The 16,244-nt window shown below is 43.7% G+C and overlaps 3 pseudogenes, 1 gene segment (V, D, J or C) and 1 further gene; all 5 read right to left on the reverse strand.

The window, feature by feature from the left end:
* The window catches only part of IGH (immunoglobulin heavy locus), a 1,293,408-nt gene that overhangs the window by 722,962 nt on the left and 554,202 nt on the right, over positions 1-16,244 (reverse strand).
* Positions 8-314, reverse strand: IGHVIII-26-1 (immunoglobulin heavy variable (III)-26-1 (pseudogene); annotated as a pseudogene). The gene is given in 1 exon segment: positions 8-314. A coding segment is annotated over 1 exon segment (307 nt).
* On the reverse strand, positions 5,250-5,562 carry IGHVII-26-2 (immunoglobulin heavy variable (II)-26-2 (pseudogene); annotated as a pseudogene). The gene is given in 1 exon segment: positions 5,250-5,562. A coding segment is annotated over 1 exon segment (313 nt).
* On the reverse strand, positions 8,425-8,838 carry IGHV7-27 (immunoglobulin heavy variable 7-27 (pseudogene); annotated as a pseudogene). The gene is given in 2 exon segments: positions 8,425-8,708; positions 8,793-8,838. Coding segments are annotated over 2 exon segments (330 nt in total).
* IGHV4-28 (immunoglobulin heavy variable 4-28) lies at positions 14,856-15,290 on the reverse strand. The segment is given in 2 exon segments: positions 14,856-15,162; positions 15,245-15,290. Coding segments are annotated over 2 exon segments (353 nt in total), but the record flags the coding sequence as incomplete, so codon positions are not given.

Raw genomic sequence — 16,244 nt, forward strand, 5'->3', positions numbered from 1 at the left:
CCCTGTGTCCCTCACTGTAATATACGGCCTTGCCCTTGGCTTTCAGGTTGGTCCTTGTAAGGTAGACTGCACTTGAAAGGGTGTCACTTGGGAATGTTGATTTATCTGTACTCATGGAGAGTAACCCTTAGAACTCCCATATGATCTCTCACTGTTGCTACCCACACCAATTCCTGTTGTGAAGTGTGCTGGACCAAGCTCATGCTGCACCCAGTAAACCCGAAACCAGAGGCTTTGCAGGACAGTCTCAGTGAACTGCTGGGCTGTTAAATTTTTCTCCTTCTGACTCCATCAGTAAACATCACACAGGACTTCTGTGAATACAGAGGAAACAGACTGAGAACAGCCACAGCTGGACCTGATTCACAAGGCACACTAATATTGAGGGGGATGAGAAGGGAATCCAGATCAGTGCAGACCCCATGGTGTGGACACTAAGGAAGGGCAGAGACATGGGGTGGCTCCATACCAGGGCCTGAAGGAAGAGGGCATGAGCTGCCTTTCATGAGGAGGAGTGGGGACACATTTCCATGTCTTCATGTTTGTGGTCATGGGTACACTGCTCAGCACTGCTCATCCATCCTCTGTGTCTACATTTCGGGAGGGCAGGGTCAAAGGATTTCTGGGTCTGGATGCACAGGGTTATTCTGCCCATTACTCTTTTTTATTCTTTAATGTGGATACTGTTCAGGTATCTTCATAGTAGCAACATTATCAACAAATATGTCCAGTAAGAAAATAAAAATACATTTCCAGAGAAAATGGACACCTGTCTCTAACTGGTGCATTTAGAGCTGCAAATTACTGTTTTTGACAATAAGGCAAAGTTAGGTTACAACAAAAAAAATACAGATCTACACTTTATTAGGGAGGGGATTTATAATTACCATTATCTTGAGATCATTTTGCCACAAAACAATTCAACATTGAATATATGTGCCTGTGTAAGGAAACAGTAAATGTGGACATATGTGTACTTATCTGAGTGAAGAGTTCACATGGAGACATATTTGCTTGTCTGAGACAAGAGTCCACATGAGGAAAAGTCTGTTTTCTGAGGAAAGCGTAAATGTAAGGACATACATGGTAGTCTGAGGAAAGTGTCCATGTGGGGACATGTGTTTTTGTCTGAGGGAAGAATCCACATCAGTAAAGGTGTGTTTGTCTGACAGAAGACTCCACGTGTTGACAGGTGTGTGGACTCATCTGAGGGTAAATGCCCATTTAGGGACAGTATATGCCTGAACTGAGCTGAAGTTTGGGGAAAATCTTTCTCAATCAAGGAAAGAAAATAATCCTGTGGGTTATTTGCTTGTCTGGAAGAAAAAACCTGGGTCACATAGAAAATTGATTTTTTTTTAAATTAAAGATCTTTAGTGAATGTCAACATCTTATATGCAAATAAGGAAAATTAGTTCATTCTTTGTTGCATGTGTCTCATGGCATCCTCACCAAATAAGTTATTAGATAATTTTATACAGTCTGCATTTGATCCTAGGGATAATGTACTGCTAAACATCATTTTAAATTGTATATATTTAGGTTTATATTTTTCATCACAAAATTATGAGCTTAGACAAATTAATTGTGTCATGTCTCAACCATTGCATATCACTAAAAATAGTTTTACTCTTCTTAAACATTGCCTTTTTAACTTATTTGATACCCACTCTGTAAATTCCTGGAATATCCTCTCTATGTTTACTTGACTGTAGTTTTGGCTTTTACAGAATTCAAATAAAGAAATTATACAGTGTAATTGAAATGACTTCATGAAGAAAGTGGAAAACGAAGTTGCTGATCTAAGGAACTTTGAAAATGAGGAAATTCTATAAGTTTAAAGTGTAAAGAAACTGCACATAAGCACTCTATTCTAGTAGATAAAAATGGTTCCAAGAAGGGTACAGCTTTACATTTCTGATGCTGCAATGCATGTGTCCTGAAATTGTGCAGCTAAGTAATACAATGGCATATGATGGGATGGGGTTCCTCACTTTGCAGTGGGTGATTATGGACAGTCAAGGAAGCCTAGAAAGGTCGATATGGTGGTAACATAGTTGGGTGAGGAGACCAGTGTATTCTCATTTTTAATGTAATAAAGTTACAGAATATAAGATACATAAATAGTTTCAATGTGTCCTTAAACATGAGTTCATATAAACATGCACATTTACTAGGCCAGTTGGTTGAGAGGTCCTAAAAGTACTTATACCACATTAACAACACATATACCCAGTATCACAAATTTTATTTTAATACTATATTTTAACATCAGAAAGAAGCAATCTTTAGAAAAATGTCTGATTCTATGTATGAAAAAGTTAATATAGAAAATGGGCTTAGAATGTATTGTAATACCAGGAAACAGGAAAGTGTTCAAAAACAAAATGATGAGGTGTGCTGTAAGGATGCAGCATCCAAACTAAATGAGTTCCAAGCACATAATAAAGCTGTGGTGATTTGAACAATAAAATGAATAATATAGCATGGATTTACTTCAGAGTATGAAATAGACATTCATAAACCAATGCGGATATTAATAAATGACTAAATAGAGAAATAATGGGAAAAAGAACACATCTCCTTCCAGAAATATTCCAAATATCTTAGGGTGATAGTCCTCTAATCAAGTAGGTGATGTTTAAACACTCATGAGTAGATTGTGGCCTGAGATTAGAGACATGGAAAAAAAAATCACTATTAGTATATTTTATGATGAGATTTCAGATGTAATGCCAAAGACGTGATCTATGGATAAATGAAATTATACCTGTTTCTTTAATTTGTAAACACACACACACACACATACATATTTTTCTGCAATACACACTGACAAGGGAGTAAAAGACAACAACAGACTTGGAGAAAATACTTCCAAGTCACGTATTTGTTAAATGTTTCCTTTTGATTTGTTAAACGGCTTTTTTGATCAATATGCAGGTATACTTACAACTAATCAGAAGAAAACAATGCAATTAAAAATTAACCAAGTATGAATCACAACAAAATCTAAAATAGACAAATGGGATCTAAGTAAACTAAGGAGCTTCTGCACAGCAAAAGAAACTATCAGCAGAGTGAACAGTCAACCTACAGAATCGGAGAAAATTTTTGCATTCTACCCATCTGACAAAGGGCTAATATCCAGAATCTACAAAGAACTTAAACAAATTTACAAGGAAAAAACAAACAGCCCCATCAGAAAGTGGGCAAAGGATATGAACAGACACTTCTCAAAACAAGATATTTATGCAGCCAACAGACAAATGAAAAAATGTTCAGCATCACTAGTCATTAGAGAAATGCAAATCAAAACCACGATGAGATACCATCTCATTCCAGTTAGAATGGTGATCATTAACAAGTCAGGAAACAACAGCTGCTAGAGAGGATGTGGAGAAATAGGAACATTTTTATACTGTTGGTGGGAGTGAAAATTAGTTCAACCATTGTGGAAGACATTGTGGTGATTCCTCAAGGAGCTACAACTAGAAATACCATTTGACCCAGCGATCCCATTACTGGGTATATACCCAGTTTGAAGTAAAAATAAATCATATATTGCATTCTTAAGTTAAAAGTAGCATAATGTTCAGAAACACATGAACTTTCTTTGCAAAAGGTACTTCTACTAAAACTTACAACACAGGGTCTGCTTTCTCAAGGACCCAGACATTATCACCCTATGAGCTGATTCATCAAAGGCCCAGGTATTTTCAATTGCACCTCAATATTAGACTCATTCATTAAATGCAGATATAGCAAAGTATTTTAAGGGATTGATGTGCTATGCAGAAACATTCAACAGGATGTTAAAGATGCCTTACCACCAAATATTTCTAACAATTTTTTCATTGTCATCCACTTGGAAATTCTTTATTTTGGAAGAGACATCAGAGAATAGCAGCTTCAAACATTGTTAAAAGGCCTTATTATTTATCATTATCTACAAATGCAGCAGTAACTCCAACATGTCAATCCACAGGTTTATGAAGTGAAAATGAGGTGGGTTACAAAAGTTGTTTTGAGATAATTATCATATAGTTGTAGAATCAATAGCAATGGTGGCATCAGTGTAAGGTTGAACAGCCAGTTTCTGAGCTGATGTTCTTGCAAGTGTAATTTTTAATAAGGTTGTGGTGGGCTTCTATCCAAGATGGTGGCTAAGCAGAGTCTATTTATGATAGTTTTTGTTATCAGGAATATGGGCCTAAGAACCCTCCTTCATGTTCATTCCTAGGTCCATTTGTCAGGGTGTTAACACAAGTGGCTCTGTTTTGATTCTTACAACTTTCACACTCTTTCTAACACTACAGGTGAGGAAGGTGAACCTGTGTTAGTTTGCACAACACAGGATAAATTCCACATCCACATTCCACTTTGACCAAACAAGCTCATACCTTTCACAACTATTGGCCACTTGCATTCCCAGGTGAGTCTCCACACAACACACTGGAGGGTTCTGAGCAACGGGAGAGAAGATAGTCCCATCAGCCTCTCCCACGTGGTTGCAGGAGCCACAGTCTGAGCCCCACCTGAGCTGCAGGGAAAGGGCTTGAGCCCTGGAATTTTTACAGCAGGAACCACATCTCCACTTTACAGGGATCAGGAACAGCAAAAGGAAAATCAACAACAAATACAACTAACAAGAAATAGAATGGGCTAGGAGCAAAAGGGGCCCCAGATCAGTGCTGATACTGATTTGCATGCTTTAGTGTCAGGAGAAGGGTCAGACGTAAATCCTGTGAGGTTCTACCTGACACTGACCCTGGCCCAGCCTCTCTTGGCTGAGGTTAGAATTCCTAAAGACTGTTCTCCTCAGGGAACCCCACTAAGGTTCCTGTCCTGAATGTGACTGGAGAAGACTCACTGGGTACCCTTCAGCTTCCACAGGGCTGTGACCCTGGCAACCACTGGCAGAGAGATTGTTCTACATTTAGCACCTGAGAGAAGGTTTCCTCCTGGTACAACAAAACTGTGATATTTCAGAGACTTACAGCTAAGCAGAGCATCATGAAATAAGGGAGGGTCTCTGAAGGAAACATCTAAATGGAGAAGCAGCCCCAGACCCTGGCAGTAAACCAGCCTCTCATCTCCACCTGCACCTGCTCTGGGGCTGGCCCTGTGCTTACTGCAACCTGCCCTTCCCCAGTGGTCGTGAGTCCCCTTGGTGGTCTTGAGTCTTCCTGGAGGTCCTAAGTGCCCTGACAGGTTTGTGTCAGGGCTCATAAGGACACCTCCTCACTGAGTCTTTCACAGTAATACTCAGCCGTGTCCTAGGTGGTCATGGAGCTGAGCTTCACAGAGAACTGGCTCTTGGTTGAGTCACTGTTGATGGGGACATGGACCTGGGTGGAGGGTGCATGATGTGTATTCCTTGATGATCCAGTCTAGTAACTGTGCCCCAGCCATTCCAGCCTGTTGCCCACGGGATGGTGGATTCATCTCAAATAATATCCATGGTAAAAAAAAGAATCCAGACACAGCACAGGCAGAGGGCAGTGTCTGAGGGCCTCATGGGTCCTGGACCTGACTCCTGCAGCTGCACCTGGGACAGGACACCTGGAATAACAGTGGACTTCCTAGTGAGTCACACAGAGAGCTCACTTGTCCCCATTACCCCATTTCTTATTTCTAGATTCTCACACAGAAAAACTGTCATCCATCGAAGACATGTAAAAAGTTGATCTTCTTGAGAGAGAGAATAATGCCTTTCATGGGGAAACTGTGCTCAAGCTGATGATAGAGCAGTATCTGGGGAGGAGAGAGGCTGACAACACCCAGCATTGTTGCTGGGGTATAAACAGAGTTTGAGGAAAAGTGTGCATGTGTCAAGAGCCCCTCACATATAAGGGGCAGGAACCACGGCGACCTTCTGTCTTGGAGCCTCTTCCCAGAGGTGAGTGTCCTGCTCAGACATCAGATAACACAAACTCATTCCTCCTCTGAAAGAGCATCCCTCTGCTGAGTGTCAAAGCATCCATTCTTACCCCAAGGACAGGAAGGCAAGTGATAGAAACAAGCAGTTTTGCTGGACAGAGAGGGAAGGGGTAGGAACCAGGGAAACACCTTGTGCCCAGGACCTACGCCCTAAAATCTCCTGTTTCTTTTGGGTTCCCAGCTGGAGATGATACATTGTGAACTTTCCTGGCAGTCGCGCTTCTGGAGGGAGGATTAGGGGAAATGCTGAGTAAGTTCTCCTCTTTGCTGAGCACGGAGTTTTCACCCTCTGTGGTAAGTGGTGTTATCCCTCCCCAGTTGAGTCACCCCTGCTCACCCTCTCCCTGCTGCTTCCCAGGTTTTGCTTCTTTGCTCACAGTCTTATCCTTTTCTAGGTTTCTTTTCCTGGAGCCCCCATAGTAGCCTTGAGTGACAACATCAGTCCAGTCCACAACATCTTATAAACTGTGATTCATTTCCTTTTGATTACCTATGAACACTTTATAAGAAAATAGATGGTATAGAGAAAACATTGCTTTCCTGTTGTACATAGAGCCCTGCTGTGTTCTCAACAGGCCCAACAGGCCTGAGGACACACACACACACACACACACATCAATTCCCACATCCCCTTTCAATTTCCAACAGGAAAAATCATGACTGTGTTGGAAGAATTGTTTGCATGGGGCATGGGAGCCACAATGAGGCATCATCCCTCTCTGAGGATACAGGGTCTCCATGTTCAAAGAGAGAGACTCCAGGTGTGCAGAAGCCCAGTGTTTCAGGACCTGGGAACAGAATCACGGGAGACCAAGTACAGCAGGACTGGTCAAGAGGACCAAAGAACTAATGGTAGACTTTGAGTGAGGAGAACAAGGTAAGGCCTGATCTTACGTCTTCTGCCCTTCATTCTGTTGATACGATGTGTCACATTGATTGATTTGCATAGGTTGAACCATCCTTGCATCTCTGGGATAAGCCACACTTGGTCATGATGAATGCTCTTTTGATATGTTATTGAATTTGGTTTGCTAAGAATTCCTTGAGGAGTTTTGCATCCATATTCATTAGTGATATTGAACTGTAGTTTTCTTTTTTTTTTGGTATGGCTTTATCTGGTTTTCATATAAGGGTAACATTGGCCTTGTACAGTAAGTTTGGAAGAATTCTTCCCTTCCTTATCTACTTTTTATCTATTTTTGGAATATTTTGAGTGAGATTAGGTATTATCTCTTCTTTAAATGTTTGTCATAATTGAGTGATGAAGTCATCAAGTCCCGGGTTTTTTCTTTGCTGGGAGACCTTTTATTATGGCTTCACTCTCACTACTTGTTACTGATCTGTTCAATTTCTTCCTGGCTCAATCTTGGTAGGTTGTATGTGTCTCTAAATTTATCCTTTTCTTCCAGATATTTCGATTTATTGGCATTTAGTTGCTCCTAGTAGCCTCTAATGATCCTTTGATTTTCTGCACTATTGGTTGTAATATTTCCAGTTTTCTTTCTGATTTTATTTACTTTGGTCTTCTTTGTTTTTTTTCTTGGTCTGGTTAAAGGTTTATAGATGTCTTTTATCTTTTTAAAAAACAACTTTTCATTTGATCGATCTTTGGTATTGTTTTATTTATTTCAATTTTATTTATTAACGTTCTGATCTTAACTTTTTTATTTTACTATGTTTGGATTTGATTTGCTCTTGCTTTTCTAGTTTTTTTTGAGAGATATTCCTAAGATGTTTATGTTATAATTGTCTACTTTTTTAACATAGGTGCTTATAGCTGTGAACTTTCCTCTTAGTACTATGTTCACTGTATTTCATAGGTGTTCATATGCTGTGTTTTCATTATCATTTCTTTCAATAAATTGTAAAATTTTCTTGTTTGTTTCTTTATTAACCCATTTTAGAGCATATAGTTCAGTTTGGAAGCACATTGTTTAATTAAGGAGGATACTGTTTAATTTCCATGTGTTTTCAAAATTCCTCTTATTATTTTAGTTTTCTTTCATTACTATCAGAGAAGGTACATGATATCTTTTTAATTAAAAATGACAAATTTTCTGGTCTACTATGTGGTCTATCCCTGAGAATGATCCATATGCTTAGGAAAAGATTGTGTACTCTGCAGCCATTGGATGAAGTGTTCCATCAATATCCATTATGTCCACTTGGTCTGTCATGCAGATTTAGTCTAAGATTTCATTGTTAATTTTCTGTCTGGAAGATCTGTCCAATGCTGAAAGTGGGGTGTTAAAGTCTCCAGCTATTATGGTATTGGGTCTATCTCTCTGTTTATCTCTAATTGTATTTGCTTGATATACCTGGGTGCTCCAGTGTTGGGTGCATATATATGTATGTGTATAACCCTATGTCAACAAAGGGTGCAGCCACGTTGTCCCTGTCACTGCCTCAGCTCAGCACAGCTGCCTCCTCCCTCAGGATTTCTGGTTCTCTCAGGATGTGGGTTTCCACACTGTGCCTCTTGCACGTGTCCTCAGCCTTTAGGCTGCTGATATGAAGATATGCCATGCTGACGGAGGTGTCCATGGAGAAGACAAACCGTCCTGTGAAGCCCTGGGCATACGTTAGGTTCCCAGTGTTGGTGTTGATCCATCCCATTTCCTCAAGCCCTTGTCCATGGGCCTGTCATACCCAGCTGATAGCATAGCTTGTGAAGGTGTATCCAGAAGCCTTGCAGGAAACCTTCAATGAGGCTCCAGGCTTCTTCACCTCAGGCCCAGACTGCACCAGCTGCACCTGTGAGTGGACACCTGTGGAGAGGAGACAGGAGTGCGTGAAGTCTCACTTGACTGGCCTGGTTTCTCTCTCAGCCCGGTGACTGGGAGGTCCCTTACCTGTTGCTGCTGCCACCAAGAAGAGGATCCTCCAGGTCCAGTACATGTTGAGGTGCTGTGGTCTAGGGGCTTCTTCTGAGGAGAGTTGTGGTTGTTGGATGATGCTCTCAAGGCACAAAGATATCTATATTTACCTCAGTTATTTGCATATTCATGAGCGATCCTATTTCATACCTGATACTGCATGAGAAAGATTGGAGAGTGACACATGTATTACCAACAGGAGGATGCTAAGGGTTCAAGCTATAATCCCCTTAGAGGTCATGTGCCTCCTGATACATCCCTAAGCTCTATGTTGACAAAGCTTCTCCCCCTGGAGAACAATTTTCCCTAGAACAGGACTTCACTGTGAACACACACTTGAATGGCTCAGAGGTAATTTAAAGTATTTCTAGGCTTTAATACATGAATGTCTTATTCGGGGGATGAGTGTGTTTCTCCAAAGTTGCACTTATTTATATAAAAGAAAAGCTTGCTTAACCTCCAGCTGCATACTATTAAGATATCTAGCAGGGTTAGAAATATCTAGTATAAAAGTGGTTCTCATTACAACATCAAATTTGATAAATGCTCACAATTGAATAGGATATTTATAGAATGTTCAGCAGTCTTTGTCAAATACTCATTTTAGATTTTTTTTAGAAGAATGACACAGATCTTGAGAGGAATCCCTCCCCAGCCTCCGGTGCACCTGCTCTGGGGGTGGAGCCTGTGATGGGTGGGCCTTGAGCGCCCCCTGCAGCCCAGCCCTTGCACTGCAGAGAGGCTCCTGTCTGGGCTCCCAAAGCATTTCCCTCCCCCCAGTATGAAGATGCTGTGTCCTGGCTCAGAATGCTCATTTAGTGACATGTGATACCATGTGCTGCTGACACCATCTCTTACAATACTAAACTGGCCGTAGGAAAGCCAGTGAACTCTGCAGAAAGACCCCAAGCAAGGATTCTATGAAACCACCAGGGAGCCCCTTCTGTGGAGCTCCGGAAGCAATGGATCAGTCCACACTCACAATGAGTCCAGGAGCTCCCAGGGGCTTTGGGAGAACACCTAATCTCTTGTCGGTTCCTGTGGATGAACATCTCATCAGATAATTTCTAAACCTACAAAATCACGGGGCTCAGAGCCCACTGCAAAACTCCTAATACACACACACACACACACACACACACACACACACACACACAGTGCCTAGATTCCCCACAGTAATGGGAGGGAAATGTGCCTTACTCTCTGTGTCTACCACATTGGTTGTGCACCCACAGTGCCCCTAGGCCTGGGGATATGCCCTTGTCAACAGAGTGACAGCAAACACTTTACACCTGGAGATGGGGCCCTGCACACACTGTGGCTTCCCTGTTCTCCCAGAACCTGGGATCCTGCAGATGCCCCCGAGAAGCATCCAGGCTCCCCCTGGGAGGGTCGGCCACAGCCCAGCCCCACCGAGTTGGCGCAGCCTGCACTGAGCCGCTGACCTGTGGGGAAAGTCACAGCAGACCCACAGCCCAGCCAGCCCCACTCCCAGAGGCACATCAAGGAAGGGGGCAGGACCTGGGGACCCTTGATGGGGATCTTTTCAGGAGCAAACACAGGAACTGATCAGACACAGGTGACCTGGGAAGGTGAGTAGCTGGTCAGGGTTTCTGAGGACCAGTGTCTGTGATGGGACCTGCCTGTCCCGTCTCATATGAGGTGCCTCTCCTGGGGATCCTGTCCTTGTCTTACTTGTGCAGGTCCACTCTGTGGGTGACTGACACACCTTTATAAACCTCAAATCTCAGGAACATAAGAGCTGTGCTTAAAAAGTCCCCAGAAAGAAGACACATTCCCATCCTGCTGCGATTGAAACAGCTCCACGCTGGGGTTGGGGAGGGCTCATGTATCGCTGATGGGATGCAGAGGATCAGCCACAGGTGAGCTGAGGAAGACTCAAGGCTACTTTCCAGCACTTCCCCTCAGAGTGAAATTTGTGTGTTTGCCCCAAATCCAGGCTGGTTCTGGGACTTGATTCTTCCAAACTTGCTGCTCTGGAAAGTGCAGGCCCTGGCTGTCACTGTCACCGCTGCTGGGACACTGTGGACACCAACCAGGGCAGGAGCCTGGGGATGGGGCTGAGGACAGACACTAGCTAGATGAACCCATTGAAAACTTTGGGATCTGCTGGGGCTCACACTTATGGAAGCACATACACTGGAGGGTTTGGAGGAGGAGGCAGCCTCTGTGAGTGACTCAGGAGCTGCTGCTGCTCTGTGGGTCACCTCGTTGGCAGGTAGCAGTGGGCAGGTGAGTGTGGTTCAGCCCTACAGGGACACCAGGCTTCCACATGCCCCTTCTCACCAGGAAGGAGAGTGGCTTTGTTCATCCTGGTTTCCCCAGCCGTCTGGTCATCCTCTCTTCCTGACCTCCTGCCCATGGCCCTTAGGCCTGTGACACATGGACAAAGGCACTTTCTACTCCAACTGTTGATTACCCAGGTCAGCTCCCTCTAGAAAAGCCATGATGTTTTCCTGGTTCTGTGTCCCTGGCTGAAACACAATGGACACACATGGACATACCAAAGTGTCAAAGTGGAGGACGGGAACCCTAGAAAATACCACTCAGAAAAGAGAAAGAAATTAGTCCGTGGATAACAAGAGGGTGCTGAGCATGTCTGGAGGCTGCAGGTCCCAGAAGCTTTAGATTCCTCAAAGTCCTCAGTTTTGTCTCCTCTGTTGTTTTGGGGCTTCCCTGAGTTCTCCTCTTCAGATAGACTCTGTGCCTTTTCACACGCTGACCTATAGGAGATCGTTAAGCCAGACAAGAAGCCTCAAACCTGGTATATATTCTGATCTAAATTTTCAAAAGATAAACTCCAGAGACATTCAAAGAAATGATTATAAAATATCAATATGTAGCAACTGGCTGAGAAAACCTTAAACTCATATTATTTTTATGAACCATATACATGCTAAAACTTTGTCCAATTTCTCCACTTTATCAGAGACTGCCTGCAGGATGAATTTTGATGCCACCTAATTTAGAGTAGGGGAAAACTTAAAATCCTCTATAGGTCTGAGTGCCACTAACAACAACAACAAAAAGTTTGGACCAGTATGAAATTTTAAGAGACACCACTATCATGGACTGGGCTAACAGGTGATGGCATTTGCCCTGAGCATATTCTGTGAAGAGTGGTTACCATGGCTTTTCCTTCTAATGAGCAGAAAGCAACAGAGAATGTACAAAGTGATAATAATAATGAAAGAGAAAAAAAGCAGTCCAAATTCTGTAACAAAGCAAAGCACTAGAAACTGACACAAATTAAAAGGAGGTATATTGATTACCTGGCAGAAAATTCAAAGGAAACCTTATAAATGTGTTCAATGAGCTCAGAGAAGAATGCAAAAACAACACGAGAATTTTATCAGAGACCAAAAATGGAGAGAGATGAGATACAATGATGTGTAGCTTAACAGTAGGGATACATCTGAGCAATGTGTCCTTAGGCAATTTGTCATCATGCGAGGATCATAGAGTGTGTTTACGTGAACCTACGTGAAATACCCTGCTACACCCAGGCTGTGTGGGATAGCATAGTGCTCCTAGATAACAAATCTGTACATCATGTAAGTGTAGTGAATACTGTGGGCAGTTGAATCACCATGGTAGGTATGTATATATATGAACATATCTAAGTATGGAAGAAATGCAGTGAAAATACAGTATTATAATTTAATGAGATCATTATCGTGTATGTGGCCTGTTGTTCACCCAAATATCATGATGTGCATGATTCTATTCAAGTTGCTGAAAATAAAACAAAACCAATAAAACTGTCAAGTAAAAATATTACACTAATTAAAGCTTTTCTTCAGTAATGTAGGATGTTTCAAACGTTTCTCCAAAAAGCAAAAAGTGGACAAGTGCATCACCACTAGACCTGCCTTACAGGAATGCCAAGGTCTCTGGTAGGTTCCGGGAAGAATGAAGTAGCTGCATCAGCTCCACTCTGTCATCTGCCATTTGATAGACTTGCATAGTTCTTTTTTTCTGTTCTGCTTTTTCCCTCTATAAACTCCTTCTCCCTTCCCTTCATAATTCTGTCTGTTAATGCAACTCATATTTAGCTGAAAATGCTGGGGTCATTGGAATAAATTCCCATCGTTCCTCCACCAAAGCTAATAAGCTGCCTCCAGGGGTGTCCATCTCCATTTTCTTTTCTTCCATTGCCATGGGGTAGTTTCCTTGATCCTACATGAGTCCAGCCCTCCTCTTCATGTACATGGGCCATTGAACCATCACGCACCCGGGAACAGCTTCAGGAAATGTACCCTGCCAGCTTCTCCATCAGCCTCCACCTACAGTGATCATTCCTTCAGCTTTCACTCATGCTGGAGGGCTTCCCACACAAAAGGGCCTTTCACACCCACTCCCAGTACAGTTCTGGGACCCAGTCTACCTCCCAGATACAGGTACATATCCTTCCCCTTTGTTGTTAGTTTTGTTTCATTTATTTAAAATTCACTTGGATATCACCGATGATGGGAATGACCAGCGTGCCCACCCCATTTTCTGTTCACCGCCTGAAAAAGCCACCTGTGAGGGTAATCACCCTAGTGTGCTGCACTGAGGGGCCACCTGGATATACACTGACATGAGATGTATGAGTTATTAGAGGAGGCCCTGGGTCACCAAGTGTCTGTGCTCTACAGGACACAGGTCTGTCCTGCAGAAGAGCCTGCATGACCTGAAATCATACGTGTGCATAACCAGTGGTCTCAGCAGGGCACCTGAGACCAGCTTCAGGCAATTCCTGTGTAACCTGCCCTGGGTGCCTGCAGAGGACAGGTGCATGACAAGGATGTAAGGGAATGATGTGGGTTAGGGGAATTGAAGCTCACTCTTTACTGAGGCTCTACTCGGCACCTGGACCTTATGGAAGACTAAGAACAGAATGAGTCCAGCCCCAAATAGCTCCTAGTTTAGGGTCAGCTTTAGTGGGATTTTAGAGAGTACAAGACACAGGGTGATGCTGGAGTGGTTTTCTGTGACCGTGTGTCACTTGGGGGGAAGCAGAAGGTGGGCAGGGATCAGGACTCCATCTGGCTGGTTCTCATTATCTACATGGATTCTCATAGTGGAAAGTGAGATACACGACCTAGAACATACCCCCAGGGCTGATCTCAGAGACTGCTGCTAAGTGAATGGCTCAGCAGAAATGTGGTGGGGTTTTCATCTTGGATCTATTTTTCTTTATGAAAATAATTTGAGAGATGTGTCCAGCCTCGGTGGGCTGCTACTCCATGCAGGAGACGGAGCTAACACAATTGAATCTCTGAATCTACTTGGCTTTCCATGAGAAGATACCACAGACTAGGCTATTTCAAATAACAAATATTAATTTTCTTATTGTTCTGGAGTCTTGACGTCCAAGATCTGGGTGCAGAAAGGGTAAGTTTTTTGAGAGGCCTCTTCCAGGCTTGCAAAGGGCCACCTTCTCATGCAGCGCATCCCCACATGGACTCTCCTCTGTGTGCATGTGGAGAGAGAGGCCTCTGATGTCTTCCACTTCTCATAAGGACAAGAGTCCTACTGGATTAGGGTCCCACATTTATGGCCACAGTTAACTTATTTGCCCTCTTAAAATCCCTCTGTCCAATACAGAGCCACTGGGATTGGGGTTTCATCACATGAATTTAAGAGAAAGACACGATGCAGTAGATGACGCCAATCAAGGGATAGTGAGAAGCCTTAGAATATTTTGCTTGTCAAGAAGGTAAAATGGGCCTTGTGGGAATTTGTTGAAAAAAGGGTGCCAGTGACTGTTAAAACCTGCAGCAAGGATGTGAGGAAGTAGAACCACAGATAATAAAGAAAGAGGAGTCCTGGGGACAGCTGAGGTGCTGGGGAGGAGGGAGAGCACTGAGCTGATGAGGAAGCCCCGCCCTCCCTGCACCTGCTCCTGACCCGGCCTCCTGCTCTGTGGGCCCCGCGCGCCCCCTGCTCGTCCTGAGCAGCACCTGCGCCGGCTCCTCCGCCTCCCTGCAGGGAGGTTTGTGTCTGGGCTCACACTCACCTCCCCTCACTGTGTTTCTCGCACAGTAATACACGGCCGTGTCCACGGCGGTCACAGAGCTCAGCTTCAGGGAGAACTGGTTCTTGGACGTGTCTACTGACATGGTGACTCGACTCTTGAGGGACGGGTTGTAGTAGGTGCTCCCACTATAATAGATGTACCCAATCCACTCCAGTCCCTTCCCTGGGGGCTGCCGGATCCAGCCCCACCAGTTACTACTGCTGATGGAGTAACCAGAGACAGCGCAGGTGAGGGACAGGGTGTCCGAAGGCTTCACCAGTCCTGGGCCCGACTCCTGCAGCTGTACCTGGGACAGGACCCCTGTGAACAGAGAGACCCACAGTGAGCCCTGGGCTCAGAGGCACCTCCCATATCTCCATGTCTGCAGCCTTGAGACACTCACATCTGGGAGCTGCCACCAGCAGGAGGAAGAACCACAGGTGTTTCATGTTCTTGCACAGGAGGTCCAGGACTCTCAGAAAGTATTTCCCATGTGAGCAGGACCCTGAATTTAAGGAAATGTGTGATGGTTTCCCTTGGGTGCCTAAGTGAGATTTGCATGTGGGTGGTGCCTCTGTATGGAGAGGTGAAAAGGGATGAGGGAGGCCCCAGTCTTTTAGGCTCTCCCTGGAAGGAGGATGCTGGTTGTGCCCTCTGAGAATTCAGTTATCTTCCTGGGGCCTCAACTCACTATGTCCTGGCTCCTCTTTTCCCAGGTGAGGAAACAGATTGCAACAGCAGCTTAATGTAACAATCATGTGAGTTCAGACACACCAGGATTCACTTAACGTTATTTGTAGTTCAGAACCTCTATCAGGTTTAGAGGGAATCGCTCTGTGCCAGGGAGTGGGTCTTAAATAGCAAAACGGCCTCAGAAAACCCAACATAATCTATAGCGAGACCTCAGCATGGCAAGCAAGGAATCCCTAAAGCCACCAGGGAGCTCCGGATGCACTGATACGGCCCAGACACATGGCGAGTCCAGGAACTGATGGGGACTTTGGGGGAGCCTCTTTTATTATTTTTTAGGATTCTGTGGTTGAAGGTCACAACACTGGGCCTGACTGCTTCCTGAACCAAGCCCAGCACAATATGGTTCACCCCAGTGACATTTTCAGATCTTTCTTCCTGTAATGAAAGCACGGTGTGATGTGTATGCACTATTGTGTTTACCTAATGAATGTAAAGAGAAGCACATTTCATGCAGCTGTATTTTCATAAATGTCAGTCATTCATCATGTTAGTGTCTATTTTTCCATAAATCTGTACAGAACAAATTATTCATTCATTGATTTGTAATAGTCTTATTGAGACATTATTACTATACATTAAATATTGCAAAAAGTGTGCGGTTTAATAAGTACTCAAGCCAAGCCTGCTGGCAAACAACGGTAGTTCCAGCT

Source organism: Homo sapiens, chromosome 14, assembly GCF_000001405.40.
Source record: "Homo sapiens chromosome 14, GRCh38.p14 Primary Assembly".
In the NCBI taxonomy this organism is placed as follows: domain Eukaryota; kingdom Metazoa; phylum Chordata; class Mammalia; order Primates; family Hominidae; genus Homo; species Homo sapiens.